Source organism: Homo sapiens, chromosome 1 (genome assembly GCF_000001405.40).
Source record: "Homo sapiens chromosome 1, GRCh38.p14 Primary Assembly".
NCBI lineage: Eukaryota > Metazoa > Chordata > Mammalia > Primates > Hominidae > Homo > Homo sapiens.
The window spans coordinates 117,257,479-117,277,004 of record NC_000001.11 but is presented as its reverse complement, the minus strand read 5'-3'; the positions used below and the strand labels follow the sequence as shown (position 1 = coordinate 117,277,004).

At 43.1% G+C, this 19,526-nt stretch overlaps 2 annotated features.

The window, feature by feature from the left end:
- Nucleotides 7,584–8,102: an enhancer, noted in NCBI's record as "OCT4-NANOG-H3K27ac hESC enhancer chr1:117811525-117812043 (GRCh37/hg19 assembly coordinates)". NCBI's record gives its function as "activates a minimal SCP1, AML or CMV promoter by ChIP-STARR-seq in primed H9 embryonic stem cells {active_cell/tissue: H9 hESC(primed)}" and the evidence as "EXISTENCE:reporter gene assay evidence [ECO:0000049][PMID:30033119]".
- Nucleotides 8,064–8,358: a silencer, noted in NCBI's record as "tiled region #504; HepG2 Repressive non-DNase unmatched - State 24:Quies, and K562 Repressive non-DNase unmatched - State 21:Repr". NCBI's record gives its function as "represses a minimal TATA promoter and a strong SV40 promoter by Sharpr-MPRA in HepG2 and K562 cells {active_cell/tissue: HepG2 | K562}" and the evidence as "EXISTENCE:reporter gene assay evidence [ECO:0000049][PMID:27701403]".

Here is a 19,526-nt window from a genome sequence, read left to right as displayed (position 1 = left end):
GTGATCCGCCGGCCTTAGCTTCCCAAAATGCTGGGATGACAGGTGTAAGCCACTGCGCCCAGCCTCATTTTATTGTTTTAATAATAGCCTATATCTAAAATTTTTATTCTATTTTGTCACAATAACTGTTTGGGAGTTTGCCCTCCACCTTAAAGTGGATGGTTTATTTGCTTGTTTAATTTCAAGTTTTATTACTTTGTGACATGATAAAATGGCTCATATAAATTTCATGCTTTGAAATTTACTGAGTTTATCTTTGTGTCCTATTTGTGATCTTTTTTTGTAAATGTTTCACAGAAGCTTAAAAAATGGCATACTTTCTTTTTATAAAGAAAATTCTATGATTTAGATCTTCTAATTTTTGTTGACAATTTTATTTATTTGAGCGGTCAGTTTGAGATATTTGTGTTTAAACGTCTCCTACAAATATTGTGTTTCAAGCATTTTTTCCCCTTATGTTTCTAACTATTTCATTATTGTCACATAAAGATTCCAGCTGTTAGATCTTTATTGTGGATTGTACCTTAATTCCATATAAAATGTTTTTCTTTGGCCCATTTGATGCTTTTTATCATAAATTCTATTTGCCTGAAATAAGCCACCCAGTCCTCTTTTTATTTGTATCTGTCTGAAGAGACAATCTGGGAACCTCTGGCCTAGAGCTCTGATGGCTCCAAGTGCCCCTTTCCTGATGTGCACAAAAGGATAAAATGATACTCTGAGGGCCAGCTGAATTTGAAGGGTTATTTAATGCACTGTATGTTTCAAAGCCTTCTCTTGCAGGAAATAAAAGACATCCATGGGTGAATCCCCAGGAGTGCTAAACTGACAACTTTACTAGGGCCAGAAATTATATACCTATCACCCAGCTTAGAAATGTCCTACAATATCCAGACATCAAAACTGCCTCCATAGTAGCTACAGTTGAGATTCACCCTTGACTATGTAATTGACTCTTTTGTGATGATGTCCCTGATGCTGACTATGATTTGAGATAGCCAGAGAGGTTCCTAAACATAGCTAAGGGAGAAGGCTAAGGGGCAGGTGCAGGAAGGCCCGTGCACTGGCAGGAAGGTCTATTTCCCAGATTCTCTCTGGCTTTAGTTGGTTAACAGTGGTTTGAGACATTCGTGATAGTTAATTTTATGTGTCAACTTGACTGGGCTAGGCATGCCCAGGTGTCTGGTGAAAACATTATTTCTGGGTCTGTCTGTGAAGGTGTTCCTGGAAGACGTTAGCATCAGAATATACGTATGCAAAATTAAGAAGATCAGCCCTCACCAATGAGGGTCAGTGTCATCCAATCTGAAGATGGCCAAAATAGAACAAAAAGGCAGAGGGAGGGTGCATTTTCTCTCTTTTGTTTAGCTAGGACATCCATCTTCTCCCGCCCTCAGACATCAGTAGCCCTGGTTCTTGTGCCTTTGAAATTGGACTAGAACTTACACAACTTGCTGCCCTGGTTGTCAGGCTTTCAGGCTTGGACTGGAACTATGTCACTGTCATTGTGCAGCTCCAATTTGCAGGCAGCAGATTGTGGGGCTTAGTTTTATAATTATGTGAGTTAAACCCACATAATAAATCTCTTTCTATATTTGCCTGTATATATCCTATTATTCTATTTCTCTGAAAAGCTGACTAATACAACATGCTCATGTACTCTTACAAAATCTTAGTTTTGGTACTGGAGCGTGGGAGTAGAATATGCCTGAGAAAGTTCATGAAGCTCTTGTCATGGGGCAGAGCTCTGAGAAGTCATTCTCCAGAAAACAAAACCAAAACAGTTTTCAGGTTTGGCTTCACAGCGTCTGTTTATGGTAGCAAAATAAAGAGTAAGCAATATTATAGTAGCAGAAGACCTGTATGATTATCTGTGACTGTCACTGGCTTGTCATATGTCACTTTTCATTATGAAAAATAGGCATGAGAAGGGCAAGGAGAACTTCACTTCTTAAGAGACTTCAGCAAGTGGGTGAGAAAAATGTGCTAGTTTGTGAAGTGTTGAGAGCAGTTTGAAAGAAAAATGCAGTTAAACAAAACAAAACAGTATAACCAAGCTATAATGAAAACTGTGATTACCACTCTGCTGCCCCTTCAAAGAAGGGCTTCTTGTCCCAGCTGCTGGGAGTGCTGTTGGCAGATGACCTTCAGCTGCTTTCACTGCAGGATGCTTGCACATCTAGGGTACCCCCTTTCTTCAGGTGACCCACATCTAGTGACTGATGGGGGGATTAAAGGCCTTGCCAACTTTGGGGAAATATATATATATATATATATACACACACATCGCCCAGGCTGGAGTGCAGTGGAACAATCATGGCTCACTGCAGCCTCAACCTCCCAGGCTCAAGCAATCCTCCCACCTTAGTCTTCTGAGTAGCTGGGACCACAGGTATGTACCACCATGCCCAGCTAATTTCTTTTTTGTTTTTGTTTTTGTAGAGATGGATCTCCCTAATCTGCCTAGGCTGGTCTCAAACTCCTGAGCTCAAGCGACCCTTCTGCCTCAACCTCCAAAAATGTTGGGATTACAGGTGTAAGCCACTGTACCTGGCTGGGAAATATAATTTTTTGAAAACATCTTCTTTCTGCCCAGAAAACCTCTGCATGAAGATAGTGGAGGAAAAAAACAGTTGTGTTATTAAATAAGCATTAAACCAGAATGTGATACACATCACAGGCAATCCACTAAGAGACTGCAGAGACAAAAAGGTATTATACCCCTTTACATAGGAATCTCAGTCTGCTTCCTGCTGCTATAAGAGAATAACACAGTCTGGGTGCAGTGGCTCACGCCTTTAATCCCAGCACTTTGGGAGGCCGAGGCGGGCGGATCACCTGAGGTCAGGAGTTTGAGACCAGCCTGGCCAACATGGCGAAACCCTGTCTCTGCTAAAAAATACAAAAATTAGCTGGGCATGGTGGCAAGCACCTATAATCCCAGCTACTTGGGAGGCTGAGGTGGGAGAATCACTTGAATCTGGAAGGTGGTGGTTGCAGTGAGCTGAGTTCGTGCCACTGCACTCCAGCCTGGGTGACAGAGCGAGACTCCGTCTCAAAAAAAAAAATAAAAAAAACAAAAGAGAATAACACAGACTGGGTAATTCATAAAAAAAAAAAAAATAATAGATGGTTATTTGGCTCATGGTTCTGGAGGCTGGAAAGTCCAAGAGCATGACTGGCATCTGGCAAGGGTTATCCCATGGCTGAAGGCATTATACGGTAAGCAAGCAATGAGGCAGAGAGAAAATGGGGTGATGTGTATTATTTTATCAGGAGCTCAATCCCAAGAAAACTAACCCACTCCTGAGATAATGGCATTAATCCATGCCTGAGGGTACAACCCTCATGACCTAATTACCTCTTAAAGGTCCCACCTCTTAACACTATCACAATGGCAATCAAATTTTAACATGAGTTTTGGAGTGGACTTTCAAACCGTAGTAATAGCCAAGCAGATACGACAATTATGAACCTGTTTTTGAGATAAATAATAACTAGTTCTCAAGTAAGACGACTTGTCACACATCATTTATCCTAACTTTATCATGGTAATTGAGGGACCACCTATGTTGGTTTTATCCAGAGGAGAAACAAGTTTCTTATCTCTTTCCAACAGGACATAGTTTTGCAAGGCACTAAGTACTCACTAAAGTTAGGCTAGTAGGGGAGGAAAAAAAATAATGTTCTCTAAACTGGGACTTCCTATAACAAAAGATAGATTAACAAGAGAAATACAGACAGAAGCTTATTAAAATGTATACCTCACATACACATGGGAGAAAACCCAGAGAAATCAGTAAATCTCTGGAGTATATCTCAAAGAAAGCATTTAAATTTCAGGCTTAGATGCCATCTTTCTCTGGAAGGAAAGATGTGGAGGAGGGCCTGGTTTAGATGAAATGACCTGGGAAAGCATCTTAAACAAAGGTAAGGTTTGTTTTGCAGATTTAAGTAGATACCTTCTCCATTGTTTAAGAGTCTCTAGTGATTTAGTCTTCTTTTCCTGGTGCAAAGATGAAGAGACCCTTGCAAATGGTGATTTCCTTTGCAGATATATGTTTCTCTTATGAACATCCATCTTTTCAGAGCTACTCCTGTGTCTTCAGTTTCTCAAAATAACCAGCTCAAAATAATCAATATGCCAAAGAGGCATATTTTCGGGTGACATATTCTAGTTTCCTACAGTCTTTTTTTGAGTGTTGTGTCCTGAGCCCCATCAGATTCTAACTCTTCCATAGAAGTGGAAGATAGAAAAGCAATTTTTTCCTGATGTTTGCATTTAAAAAGATGGCTTTGAGGTTCTTGAGGAAATATTTCTGAGTTATGAGACTGGCAAGAATCTTACTTAGCTACTATAAAGATTTATATACAGTTGCAAAGGATAGATAAATTCTGAAAATTAAAGGGAAATGGGGAGAACTCTTCCCTTATTTTCAATTACAGGAATTGAAATAAGAATTAAGACTCTTATTTCTGATTTGTATTTGCCCTTGTGCTGTCTTGCTCCAACTCAGGAAACTATGAAAGGCCATTCTATGTTCATGACCCCTGGAGGAGTTTCCAAGGCTGTCATTGAGACTATGTAGCCAGACTTCATTGAGACTGGATCCTAACTGCAATATGAGCAATGCAGACTAGTAGATGTGATCTGCGGGACCAAAATAGATGCCCTTTTATCAACTAAGATGGATCCCAAGGTTAAGAAAACAAAAGTTACCTGTGAGTCAAGGGTCCAGAGCTTGGCTGGCACAGCAACTTCCTAAATTCTGACTACAAGAAAAACCTTGAGCATGTTAAACTCCCTAACAATAGGTGCTATCAGGCAAATTCCTAACTCTGATTTACAACGCAGATCACTACAACTCTGATTGGACAGAGGAAAAGCATTCTTTTCTGATTAGCAACTGCAGACCTCAAGCCAGTTTCAGCTGGCTTACAGAGACTACACACAATCTCTATGTCTTTGTGTCCTATAGTTTACCTTTTGTCGTAAAGGGCCAAACTCTACCGCATTTTAATACTAAAACCCTGCCCCTACATGAACATGAGATGCGTGTTATATATATATGTTTGCCCATTGTGCATGCACTCAACTCCTCTCATAAAGAAGTATGGCTTTCCCCCCAGACCTGCTAAATATGTATGACTATTATGTAATACAGATCCTGTGAGGCATAAAACCCAACCTGCCCTTTCCCTTTTCAAAGAGAGGATACCGTTGGTACACACTGAAGACTGACTCTTCCCGTTTTGCAAACTGATGTTGCCAGTAAACTTGCCTTTCTACTATTTAGCCATCCTTGTGGTCTTTTGAGTGGCATAGGAAATTGTTTATTTCTTTCAACATTCCTTCACCAGAATTTAAGCACATCTTGAGTACAGGTATACCTCACCTTAAGAAAACACTGGTTATGTGAGTTTTATTGAAAGAGTTAAATTGGAGGGAAATTTTAATAATAGTGTGAAAGGAAAATATCTTGGGCCCCTTCAAGCTGGGAACTGCTCAGGGCAAATCTGCCTCCCAGTCTATTCAAAGTCATCCCTCTGCTCACAGAGATAGGTGTATATTCTGATTGCCTCTTTCGGAAAGACTTACCAGAAACTCAAAAGAATGCAACCATCTGTCTCTCACCTACCTGTGATCTGGAAGCCCCCAGTGGGGGGGCCTTGCTTTGAGTTGTCCCTACCTTTCTGGATGGAACGAACGTACTTCTTACATATATTGACTGATACCTCATGTCTCCCTAAAATGTATAAAACCAAGCTGTGCCCCGGTCACCTTGGGCACATATCATCAGGACTTCCTGAGGCTGTGTCCCAGTGCATCCTCAACCTTGGCAAAATAAACTTTCTAAATTAACCGAGATCTGTCTCAGATTTTCTGGTTTCACAATAGTTACCATTGATTTAGCACTATTATGTGCCAAATCCTGCTAAATGCTATATAACTATTAGCTCATTTAATTTTCATAACAATCTTTGCAGAGATCCTGTTATTAGCTTCATTTTATAGCTATGAGAAACTAAGATTAGAAAGGCTAAATAATTTGCCCAAGTTCAAATCTAGGAAGTGGTGGAGTGAGATTTGAAACTCAATTCTGTCTGACACCAAAAACTTGGCTAATTAACAACTAGACAAAATGCCCCTTGCAACTATATTACAGCATGCTTTCCTTGCTGTGAATAATTAGTTCTTTTGTAGCACTGAGAAGAGAATTGTATAATGCCAAAAAAAAGAAAAGAGTGTGTGTGTTATGTAGTATATTTTCTGGGGGAAAAATGGACACTTGTAGCTGCATAAATATTAAACCCTTCCTCTTAGTCTATTTTCTTCAACATCCATGAAAATAACTGGACATAGACTAAAAAGCATTTCTCAATATTCAATACATCAGGAATCTACAAATTATTCAGGACAGTAGGATCTACGGAAAGATATATCTTGAAAATAGGCCTTATCTGTTGCCCAAGAGATACAGGGCCATTGGTAATTTCAATGCCCTCTTTGGTTTATATGGACAGTGTTAAGCAAAATAACTTTTAGTGTATCTTTTTTAAACCTCTTTCAAAGAGAGATACTCTATCAAGGCCGTTTTCAATGTTTCAGTACCTCTTGCCAGAGCCCTGCACATGTTCCTGCATCCTAACATGCTCACTGTGGGTTATGTCCTGAGAAGACCTGCTTGGTTTAGCAGCTGTGGTACCCATGAAAGAAATACATCTCTGATCCTGTGGTAAGTGAAATCAAATTTCCCTGCATTTCCGTAAGACCCCCTATACCAAAACATTGTTGGGGCTCACAAACTGATACCTCAAAATATGCTCATTGACATACTTAACTGAAGAAGCCTCAAGGTCTCTCTGATCTTCCCCATCTGGCCCCCCCAGTCTGTCCCAAAGACAGGATGATGTTGAAGTTCATTTATCTGGCCAGACATGGTCTCTCACGCCTGTAATTCCAGCAGTTTGGGAGGTCGAGGTGGGCGGATCACTTGAGGCCAGGAGCTCAGGACCAGCCTGGCCAACATGGTGAAACCCCATCTCTACTAAAAAGAAAAAAAAAGAAGTTTCTTCATCTGTCTGAGATCCTGAACAGATCCTTTCACAAGATAACATACAAGTTCATCTCTGTTCCTTGAACCGTTCATTCTCTCCAGCAATTCCCATAACAGAATTTCTCTTCTCCATCACCCCATAACCTATTTTGCCAGGATGGTACATAAGTTTCTGAATCCCGTTGGGGTGGGGTAATCACTCTGCAATTCATTCTGTGTGCATGTTAATAAATTTGTATGCCTTTTCTTCAATCAATCTGCCTTTTGTGAGTTGATTTTTCAATGAAATTTTTTTTTTTTTTTTTTTTTGAGGCAGAGTCTCTGTCACCCAGGCTGGAGTGTAGTGGCATAATCTCGGCTCACTGCAACTTCTGCCTCCCGGGTTCAAGAGATTCTCCTGCCTCAGCCTCAAGAGTAGCTGGACTACAGGTGCCTGCCACCATGCCCGGCTAATTTTTGTATTTTTAGAAGAGATAGGGTTTCACTATGTTGGCCAGGCTGGTCTCAAACTCCTCACATGAATATTCACACTGAATATTCATGGTGATCTGCCCTCCTCAGCCTCCTACAGTGCTGGGATTACAGGGGTGAGCCACCGCCCCCGGCCCTCAGTGAAATTTTAGAGTGGGGAGGGGAAGCTTTCCTTAGGCCCCTATAGCACAATGGTCAGTTTAGTATACCTTGTTTTCGATTCCTTTTGTCTTTGCTAAGAATTTAAGTAACACCTGAAGCACCAGTCAGGCAGCATTCCAAAGAAGGTTCAGCCGCATTTAAACCGTCGTGTCCCCCTGTGAGGCACTCCAGGCCAGATCCCAATCTCAGCCACATTCTTCACTTACACTTGACTGGCTGAGAAAGAACAGAACAAAACTGCCTTGGGTCAGAGGCCACTTTTTTATATCAGATGATCTAAACTGTTCCTGGAAGGATGTTTATCTGCTGGAACAAACACCCTGGGGCCTCCTGGCTGAAGCTGGGCTTTCCTCTGTCCATGCATCCTCCAAGGCTATCCAGAGTGCTTTGAGCAGCCCGCCTTGTCCATTCTTTCCATTTGTCTCTGTCTCCCCAGAGAGAAACGCCACAGGGAAGTACATGACAAGCTGCTATGTTACCTTAACATTGAATTCCCAGCAGGGATCACAAAGCCATGGAAGATACTGGTTCAGAAATTAGCTGAGAGGGACAGAGGGCTTTTAGCAGACGAGTGCTGGCTTTGCCTTAGAGAGCTTTCTGGGTGGTGCTCTGACTAAGGGCATTCAGGTCTTTATGATTCAGGGTTATTATAATGGCGGTGCTAACTTTTCTTGCGTACTGATGTAACTGGCAGCACATTAAGTGCTTCACCTATATTACTGCAGTCTTCCCAAGAATGCTATGAGATTGGACCATTAGTGCTAGGAGGTAGAAGGGCTGGGAGGTTCCCTTACCCATGGCCATACCAAGGGTCTGAGCCAGGATTCACACTGGTCTGCCTGGCTTTAGCATTCATCCCTCACTGTTACTATGCTGCAGAGGATGAATTGGCAGCCCATGGGCTGGATTTTGTTTAGCCTGCCAGTGTTTTAAAAGACATTTAAAAATCTGAGCCAATATTTAAAATGCAAGTGATTTCACATATAAACAAACAAAATTCTAACATCTCTTAAAAATAGCTATGACTGGCAACACTGGGTCCTCAATCCCAAAGGCTCCTGGCTATTGGAGGTAAGTATTGGCTTCCCTGCTACATGGGGCATGTGCTCCCAGTTTCCCATAGAACCTAGTATGGCAGGCTGGCTCCATTCATGTACCTGCTCCAGAAGAGCCAGACTTGCATTATAGCCTTCTATAGCATGATTTTTGGGTGCTGTGTGTACCCCTGACCTGGCATAGCCCTAGAAACAGAATTCTGTGCCAATACCATAGCTTGGGTTGGTTAGGAACAGAGAACTCAAGTGTAAGCTGCTGAGGGTTTGTGGCAGGTAATTTATGGTTAATTCCAAAGTCAGTTCATCTCCAAGGGAGAGGGCAGGATAAAGAGGTGGCATGGGAAGTGCTGGAAGTGACCATAGACCTGGGATTGACTCCAGGTTCTGCCACAGGCTGGTTACATGAGCCACATTGAGTCACTTTCTTTCCCTGTACCTATAAGAAGGAGAGATTGGAGTTGATGTTGTCAGGTGGGTGTCAGCTCTGAAATTCTAATATGCCACTGCTTGTTAGTCAAATTTTCACAAGAGAAACTGACTTTGGAGGTGTATCTTCTGGCAGTGGACAATGGGTGCAAACGAATAGGTAATTAGCAAACAACTCCGGCTCAGGTTCAGAGCAGCTGGAAGGTTATGGACCCGGCCCAGTGAAGAGAGGTGTGGCCCAAAGCACTGCAGCCATTTTGAATGCCAGAGCTTTCTGTCACATTAGTTCAGGGGTCAGTTCAGGGCTTGGCTCTTTATTTAGAAACCATAATAGGAACTACTTAAACCATTCTTTTCCAGAGCAAATGCCTCACCCCAAAAAATATCACTGGGAACTATATTAGAGAGAATTGCACAATCTTTCAGTGCATTCAGAGGAACTCACAGGAACTGTATTGTTTTCTACTTTCTTCCTTGCTTTTGAAACACAAACCTTATCACAACAAAGTGAACCTGTTTCTCCAATTAAAGCAGTCATGAAAATAAATAGTTATCCACAAAACTGCACTGTAAGAAATAAAAATAAGTCAGTAGATCAGGCAAAGTGCCAAGAAAACTCCTTCGTAATACATTTTACTTATCTCCTCTTTTGTGCCTCTGCAGGTCTCTTAATTCCCTCTGGCCTGTCACCATCTCTGAGTGTATGTTTCATTGGCTTCTTTGAATAAGCCTTATTGTCTCTTTAGCAAAGGTGGTGTGTGCAACCTTATGTTCTGTTGCTTGTCTGAAAATGAGACCTCAGGCATGACTTCCTGGTATCTCCCAGGAATGAGCAGGTTTTAGGATGTGGACCCAATAGAAACTCTTCTGAGAGCCAGATACCAATTGAGGTTCTTAGAGACCTCTATGAGAAGGCCAACTTGACTGAACTGAGCCTACTGGCTTGACTTTGTAGAAACTTCCTTCTATAGCGGAGGCTAGCTGACTTTCCAGCTTGTTCTGGGGCAGTGCCTCCTAGATCAAGGCTTCTCCAACTTTAATGTTAGAATGTAGATTCTCATTCAGAAAGCCTGGGGCATGGTCCAGGAGAGGGTCTGCATTTCTCCCAGGGCCCCTGGTGATGCTGATGCTCCTAGTCCAAGGACTGCATTTTGAGTTGCAAGGTCCTACACTAGTAATTCTCAAGTGTCTGCTACCAGGACCAACAGCAACAGCATCAACTGGTAACTTGTTAGAAATGGAAATTCTTAGGCTCCACCCCAGATCTCCTGAATCAGAACCCCTGGATGTGATCCAGTAATCTCTATTTTTTTTTTTTTTTTTTGAGACAGACCCTCACTCTTGTCCCCCAGGCTGGAGTGCAGTAGTGTGATCTGGGCTCACTGCAACCTCTGTCTCCCGGGTTCAAGCAATTCTCCTGCCTCAGCCTCCTGAGTAGCTGGGCTTACAGGCACCTGCCACAATGCCTGGCTAATTTTTGTAGTTTTGGTAGAGATGGGGTTTCACCATGTTGGCCAGGCTGGTCTTGAACTCCTGACCTCAAGTGATCTGCCCGCCTTGGCCTCCCAAAGTGCTGGGATTACAGGCGTGAGCCACTGTGCCTGGCTGTAATCCGTGTTTTAACAAACCTTCCAGGTGAGCCTGATACATGTGAGAGTTTGAGAACCACTGTCTGTGTCATTGTTATGGGTTGAATTGTGTCCCTCCTCTAAAGGATATATAGAGAACTCAATATATGAAATCCTAACCTCTAGTACTTATGAATGTAACTTTATTTGGATATAGGGTCTTTGCAGATTTAATCAAATTAAGATGAAATCATTAGGATGTACCTAGCCTAATATGATCAGCGTCCTTTAAGATGATCATGTGACATCACAGAGACACAGAGGGCAAAGATGATCTGATGACAACAGAGGCAGAGGTTTGAAGTGATGCATCTACAAGCTAAGGAATGCCAAAGATGACCAGAAAAAAAAAAAAAGAAGCTAGAAGAGGCAAAAAAAAGAATGTTTTTTTCTCCGTGTTTCCGAGGCAACATGGCCCTGCCAACATCTTAATTTTGAAAGTTTAGCCTCCAGAAGTGTGAGACAATAAGTCGCTGTCATTTTAAACAACATCATTTGTGGTACTTCGTTACAGCAGCCTTAGGAAACTAATACAATCGTGAAAGGCTTTCCCTGCTCAGTGATAGAACAGCAGGTACTTATAGGGCTCAGGTGCGGCTATTGACTGATGGGTAGCAGAAGATAGGGAAAGAAATGGAAGAAGGCAAAATAGAAAGCAAGAAGCAGTGATGATTTTTGTTCTGAGGTATTTGTGGGCTTAATAATTTTTAAAACATTATTTGTAAGTTAATTATCAAACATTTATTGAATGCTTACTACATGCCAAGATCCGTTTTAGATTCTGGGGATATAACAATGATCAAGTCCAGTTTCTTTTCCTCAAGAAACTTGCAGTCAGTACAGGAAAGAGTTGAGTAAACACGCCCTCACTATGCAAGGGCAGATGGCACTCAGAGTACACAGGCTATGGGAGCAGGGAAGCCACACAGAGTTGTATTGGTTGCGCATTGCACCACACATAGTCTTAGATGTAAATGGTCTCCCCTAGGGTTGTGTGGTGCACAAATGCTCTACTGAGCATGACAGCTCCGTTAGGAAGATTCAAGAGGAACATTAAATTCAGTTCTTTTGATTTTTATTTTATTTATTTATTTATTTATTTTTGAGATGGAGTTTCACTCTGTCGCCCAGGCTGGAGTGCAGTGGTGCAATCTCAGCTCACTGCAACCTCCACCTCCAGGTTTCAAGTGATTCTCCTGCCTTAGCCTCCCAAGTAGCTGGGATTACAGGCACCCGCCACCACACCCAGCTAATTTTTGTATTTTTAGTAGAGATGGGGTTTCACCATGTTGGCCAGGATGGTCTTGATCTCTTCACCTTATGATCCGCCCACCTTGGCCTCCCAAAGTGCTGGGAATACAGGCGTGAGCCACTGCACCCGGCCGTCTTTTTATTAATTTATTAAATTTTCAAGGCAGTCCTCTAGGGTCCATTCAATTTATTCTTGAAGGTCAAGAAAAGTTTCCCAAGGGAAATAGTATCTAAACTGAGACCTGAAGGGTAAGTAGAAGTTAATCAGGTAAGGGAAGCTGAGGGGGCTTTGGGTAATTGAAAAGGAAAGTGTTTAGAAAAACAAAACTGCACATACCAGACTGAGAGACAATGGGAGCATCTGTGAGGTGTGTACTCCATCAAGGGCTCTGTAGGCAAAAAGCTAACTACCTGATTTGCTAGTCAGATTCTTTTCAGGGCCTAGAGCCCCTTAAATAAGCTCCATTTTGTAGTAAGACTTTCTTTGGTTGCTCAAATATCTCCGAAGTAATTAAAGCCTGCAGATCTTAGTTGTTAAACTGCCTGATGCAAATTTCTTATAATAGAATAATTTAGGTGTCTAATGGAACAGAATATAATATGAGTAGAAGACATGAGATGTCAATGCTATGTTTAAAATGTGTATGTCTAATTGGCTAAGTAACTGTAACTTTTAACTTTCTATTTTAGCCAGGAGTCTTCCTCTTTTCCTTCCCAATGAGGGTCAGTTGTGGGGAGACCATATTAAAGCTGGCTTGTTTTTTTTGTTTGTTTTTTTGTTTTTTTTGAGACAGAGTCTCGCTCTGTTGCCCAGGCTGGAGTGCAGTGGCGTGATCTCAGCTCACTGCAACCTCCGCCTCCCGGATTCAAGCAATTCTTCTGCCTCAGCCTCCCGAGTAGCTGGGACTACAGGCGTGTGCCACCATGCCCGGCTAATTTTTGTATTTTTAGTAGAGATGGGGTTTCACCATATTGGCCAGGCTGGTCTCGAACTCCTGACCTCGCGATCCGCCTGCCTTGGCCTCCCAAAGTGCTGGGATTACAAGCGTGAGCTATGGCGCCTGGCCAGCTGGCTTATGTTTTTAACGTACTGTACCTTCTCAAAAATCCAAGGCTGTGTAAAGTCCACTCATGTAGAGAGAAGGAACCTGCTCAAGTTTTATTCTTGGAACTAGAAAAATCAGTCTTCCCTTTGGTGTTGAGTGTGAATTTCTGACTGGGAAGTCCAAGCTGAGGGGCAGGTGGAGGCCTGGGGGAGTTGGCCATGGCTTGGAGAAGGCAGCCACAGCTCAGCTGAGGCAGCCATGAGCACAGGGCAAATTGGGCAGACTACTCCTGGCAGCACAAGCTAGAGAGCATGTTGGGTGCGTCTGTTAGCGGTGGAGAATCCATATGGGTCTGCAACAACCTCAGTTCTTGCCTCCTCAGAAGAAAGAATTTGGCCAAGGGGTATAAAGCAGAAAAAAAGTCCTGGCAAGTTTTAGAGCAGGAATGAAAGTTCATTAAAAAGCTTTAGAGCAGGAACGAAAAAAAGTAAAACATACTTGGAAAAGGACCAAGCAGGCAAGTTGAGAGATCAAGTGCACAGTTTGACATTTGACTTGGGGTCTTATATACTGGCATGCTTCTGAGATTGAATCCCTCTTTCCCTGATTGTTCCCTTGGAATGGGCTGTCTGCATGCGCAGTGTGTTTATGGGAGTTGTACGCATGCTCACTTGAGGCATTCCTCCCTTGCGAGCCGAAAGTTTCTAGAAGATCACATACCAGTTAAACTCTGCCATTTTCCTCTTAGTGTGCATGCTTGAGCCCACTTGCTCAACTCCTGAGATCTTATCAGGAAGCTGCTGATCACCACTTTTAAGTGTTTTCTATCTATTAGGAGACTGCCTTTCCCTGGAGCCAGCTGTGCCCAATTGTTATTTTAGAGAGACAGTTAACAAACCACCGGACCATCACCTGATGGTTGCCTGACATTACAGGTGTGGGAAGGGGCCCCCTCTTGTCCTGCTCCCATCTGCCTGACTATCTACTGGAACCCTTCTCCAGCAGCAGCTCATAATATCATTCAGGTGAGACCAGGATGCACTGAACACTGGGTCTACAGGCTGGGGTGGGGCTGATGGTGGAGCTTCAGGGGAGGCCCAAAAGAGCAACACACACACCTGGAGAGCAAAGCAGCAGCTCCTAGTTGCAATCCTCATATTGGGAGTTGAGGGATAAGCTAAGATCTGGCTGTTTATTTACAAGCTGAAATGGCCTTTGCAAAAGTATGACTGAGGAAATTATGACAGTGAAAGAAATCAGACCTAACCAACTCCATCTTGCTTCTAACTTTAAGCTGTCCTTGTTCATTCCTGGGCATAGACCAAACTAACTTTGGGAAGGAATTCAGTTCATAATTTGACTCTGAAACAAAATTGATAACAGCCCTTTCCTGAAAAGACCACCCTTCTTGCCTGGGAACCAGTTCACCTTTGCAGGACTAACAAATTAGCTATAAGATGAGAAATTACAGTTTAGGGGTCATGCAGTCTCTGGCTCCAAGAGTCTGAACCGCCCCAAATTTTAAAACCTAAGATCAGTGCTTGAGATGTTTTACAGACCCTGCACTTGATGGATCAGCTGACACCACCCAGACCAGTAATCTGGCTCAATCAGTTTTGCCATCCCACCCAGGAACAGAAAACAGCAAGAAAAACTCACCTTGACCCCCTTTGGTTCCATCTCCAACCTGACCAATCAGCACTCCTGACTTCCCAAGCCTCCACCTGCCAAATTATCTTTAAAAACTCTGATCCCTGTATGCTTGGGGAAACTGATCTGAGTAATAATAAAACTCCGGTCTCCCACACAGTCGGCTCTGTGTGAATAACTCTTTCTCCATTGCAATTCCCCTGTTTTGATAAATTGGCTCTGTGTAGGCCGTGGGCAAGGTGAACACACTGGGCAGTTACAAAGCCTCAGATTCCTTTAGGACCAACGATTGAAATTTCTTCCTAAAATCAGGAATTCCAGAAGTAGAAGCAGTGCGAAGGTCATCACATATAAGAATCACCCTGGCCTCGAACATCACACACGGGGGCCTGTCGTGGGGTGGGGGGCTGGGGGAGGGATAGCATTAGGAGAAATACTTAATGTAAATGACGAGTTAATGGGGGCAGCAACCAATATGGCACATATATACCTGTGTAACAAACCTGCACATTGTGCACATGTACCCTAGAACTTAAAGCATAATTTTAAAAAAATTAAAAAAAAAAAAGAACCATCCCAGCCTCATCTTGCCCTCCAGTTCCCTCCAGAGCTGTGGTGCCCTGCAGCCCACCAACAGCTGGGTATCATGAGAGCAAGTTGCTCTCTGTCTCCTGAACACAGCTGTGGCTGAGGAAACTTTCCTTTTGGATTGAGTGACAATGAATCTTTCTGTAGCTTTCTTTCGCCAGAATTGTTGTCCCTTTCTCGGAGACCTCCACCACAACCTTGCTAAGTGACCTTGGGAAGCTCACCTTTTCTTTCTGTGTCCACATTTTCTCTGCCTGTCTAATGGGATTTCTGGCAGGATCAAATTAAATTACTATGTGAAAGCACTTTGAACAAGTAGACTGTACATGTGGTGGTCACGGTGGTTATTGGTGTTTGGTATTATGTTTCGGCTCTCTCTGACCATGGTCTTCCTGTGCTCTGCCAGCTGCAGAGCTCTATACCCTGGACTATGAAGAAGAGATCTTGTATTCCAGGGCCCAGCTGTCCCGGTGTGAGCCACTCATTGTTCTGATCTCCTCAAGAGAGGAGTGAAAACAAATTGAGGAATTTGAAACTTTTAGACCACACCCCCAAACACAGCCCTAATAAATAACATACATTCAGTTTTCTGAAAAGATTAAATCTTGTCCACATACTCCATCAAAAACTACACCCCAGTGCATCCAAGAGCTCTTCAACAGGGGTGTTTACAAACCTGAAACCAGCCATCAGAGCCACTGAAACTTCAGCTGGTGCCTGTATCGGGGAGTAAAAAGACCTTTATTCTCTGTGTTTAGGCTTAGTGCCTGGGGTTCTGCAGATGAAACAGAGAAAACACAGGTTAGCAAGAGAAAAGGGTTTCTTTCATACACATATGGAGGAGGCTCACAGAAATGAAAAAAAATCCAAGGGGTGCTCATACCTAGAGGCTTATATACCATTTTAACAAAATGGTATATAAATTCAAACAAAAATAAATTTGTAAAGAAGTGAGAAGATAAAAAGAGTTTGAAGTTGTTACGAGTAGTAAATTGTGGGAAGGTAAATACAGGGAGGAAATAAATGGAATAAAAGAGATATTTTAGTAATATTTGGTATGTTGGTTCCTCTCAGACTCCAGTGATTAAGAGTCTAATCTCTCTGCCCTTCCTGCTATGAGAGAGGAAAAGGGTAATGTCCTCACAAAGGGAATTTATGCCCTGCCTTTAGGCAAATGGGAGGAGGATAGAGAACTTTTTTTGTGTCTGCTGTTTTTTAGTTGCCTTCAGCTCAAAATAATCCTTATGCCAAAGTGGCATATTTGGGGGTGGCCTATTCTGAGCACCTTCACTTGCATAACTGTAGCAACAGCATCTTCTGAGCCATTTGTACCTCTGTTATTTCCCTCTCATTGTCCTTTGGTCAACCATGCTGAGACTGAAAATTATCCAAGAGTTTTGCCGGCCGCAGTTAAGAATCCCCATCTCTCTAACCAAAGGGTCAAGTCCCATCCCTACCTGTCAAAATCCTACTTGTGTGTAAAGGGATTATTTTAAAGGCAATAAGTAGTTTCTGAGTACAGAGTCATTGGTTTGGAAGTATAACCACAAATTGACTTTCATCAATCAATTGTTATTGAGTGCCTCCTAAACACCAGGGCCTATTCAATGTGCTAGAAAACAAAGATAAATCAAGCACAATTCCTGCCTTTTGGAGAGCTTTACCTCTTGGGGGTCTGATATAGTTTGGCTGTTTTCCCACCCAAATCTCATCTTGAATTGTAGTTTCCATAATCCCCACATGTCATGGGAGGGACCAGCTAGAGACAACTGAATCATAGTAGAGGATTCCCCCATCCTGTTCTTGTGATAGTAAGTTATCACAAGATCTGTTGGTTTTATAAGGGGCTTTTCTCCATTTTGCTCGGCAGTTCTTCTTGCTGCCGCCATGTGAAGAAGGACATGTTTGCCTCCCCTTCTGCCATGATTGTAAGTTTCCTGAGGTCTCCCCAGCCATGCTAAACTGTGAGTCAGTTAAACCTCTTTCTTTTATAAATTACCCAGTCTGAGGTATATCCTTATACCAGTGTGAGAATGGGCTAGTACAGTAAATTGGTACCAAGGGAGTGGGGTGCTGCTATAAGAATACCCAAAAATATGGAAGCAACTTTGGAACTGGGCAACAGACAGAGGCTGAAACAGTTGAGAAGGCTCATAAGAAGACAGGAAAATGTGGGAAAGTTTGGAACTTCCTAGAGACTTCTTGAATGGCTTTGATCTGAAAGGGATATGGACAATGAAGTCTAGGCTGAGGTGGTCTCAGATGGAGATGAGGAACTTGTTGGGAATTGGAGTAAAGGTCACGCTTGCTATGCTTTAGCAAAGAAACTGGCAGCATTTTTCTTCTGCCCTAGAGATCTGTGGAACTTTGAACTTAAGAGAGATGATTTAGGGTATCTGGTGGAAAAAATTTCTAAGTGGCAAAGTGTTCAAGAGGAAGTGGAGCATAAATGTTTGGAAAATTTGCAGCCTGACAATGCAACAGAAAAGAAAATCCCCTTTTCTGGGGAGAAATTCAAGCCCGCTGCAGAAATTTGCATAAGGAACAAGGAGCTGAAAGTTAATCACTGAGACAATGGGGAAAATGTCTCCAGGGCATGTCAGAGACCTTCATAGCAGCCCTTCCCATCACAGGCCTGGAGGCCTAGGAGTGAAAAATGGTTTCCTGGGCCAGGCCCAGGGCCTCTCTGCTCTATGCAGCTTCTGGACGTAGTGCCCTGAGTCCCAGCTGCTTCAGCTCCAGCCATGACTAAAAGGGGCCAACATACAGCTCAGGCCCATTGCTTCAGAGGGTACAAGCCCCAAGCCTTTGTGGTATACACATGGCATTGGGCCTGTGGGTGCACGAAGTAAAGAACTGAGGTATAGGACCCTCTGCCTAGATTTCAGAGGATGGATGGAAACACCTGGATGTTCAGGCAGAAGTTTGCTGCAGGGACAGGGTCACTGTGGAGAACCTCTGCTAGGGCAGTGTGGAAAGGAAATGTGAGGTTGGAGCCCCCACATAGAGTCCCCACTGGGGCACCGCCTAGTGGAGCTGTGAGAAGAGGGCCATCCTCTAGACCCCAGAATGGCAGATCCGCTGACAGCTTGCACCATATGCCTGGAAAAGCTGCAGAAACTCAACTCCAGTCGTGAAAGCAAGTGGGAGGGGGACTGTACCTGGCAAAGCCACAGAGGTGGACCTGCCCAAGGCTGCAGGAGCCCACCTCTTGTATCAGTGCATGCTGGATGTAAGACATGGAGTCAAAGGAGATCATTTTGGAACTTTAAGGTTTAATGACTGCCCTATTGGATTTAGGACTTGCATGGGGCCTGTAGCCCCTTTGTTTTGGACAATTATCCCCTTTGGAATGGGTGTATTTACTCAATGCCTCCATTGTATCTAAAAAGTAACTAACTTGCTTTTGATTTTACAGGTTCAAAGGCAGAAGGGTCTCATTGTCTCAGATGAGACTTTGGACTTGGACTTTTGAGTTAATGCTGGAATGAGTCAAGCCTTTGGGGGACTGTTGGAAGGGCATGATTGTGTTTTGAATTGTGAGGACATGAGATTTGGGAGGGGCCAGGGTGGAATGATATGGTTTGGCTGTGTCCCCTCCCAAATTTCATCTTGAATTGTGGTTCCCATAATCCCCATGTGTCGTGGGAGGGACAAGGTGGAGATAATTGAATCATGGGGGCAAGGTTTCCCCCATCCTGTTCTTCTGATAGTAAGCTCTTACAAGATCTGATGGTTTTATAAGGGGCCTCCCCCTTCACTTGGCTCTCATTCTTCCCCCTCTTGTCACCATGTAAAGAAGGATGTGTTTGCTTCCCTTTCTGCCATGATTGTAAGTTTCCTGAGGCCTTCCTAGTCGTATTGAACTATGAGTCAATTAAACCTCTTTCCTTTATAAATTACCCAGTCTTGGGTATGTCCTTATAGCAGCATGAGAATGGACTATTAGAGGGTCTCAGAATCTAAATTGTAAGTTCTCTGAAGAGCTATAAGTGCTGTGATAGCCTGAAATGTAGTATACAATGTGGATATAGGGAGGAAGAGGTCAGTTCTATCTGAGCAGGATGGGGTGGGATAGGGTAAAGCAGAGAAATTATCATAAACAAGTGATGTTCAGGCTGAGTTTTGAAAGAATGGGTACTCAGTGGGTGTTTAGGGGCCTGGGGCAATAAAATATTGCAATGATTCCCT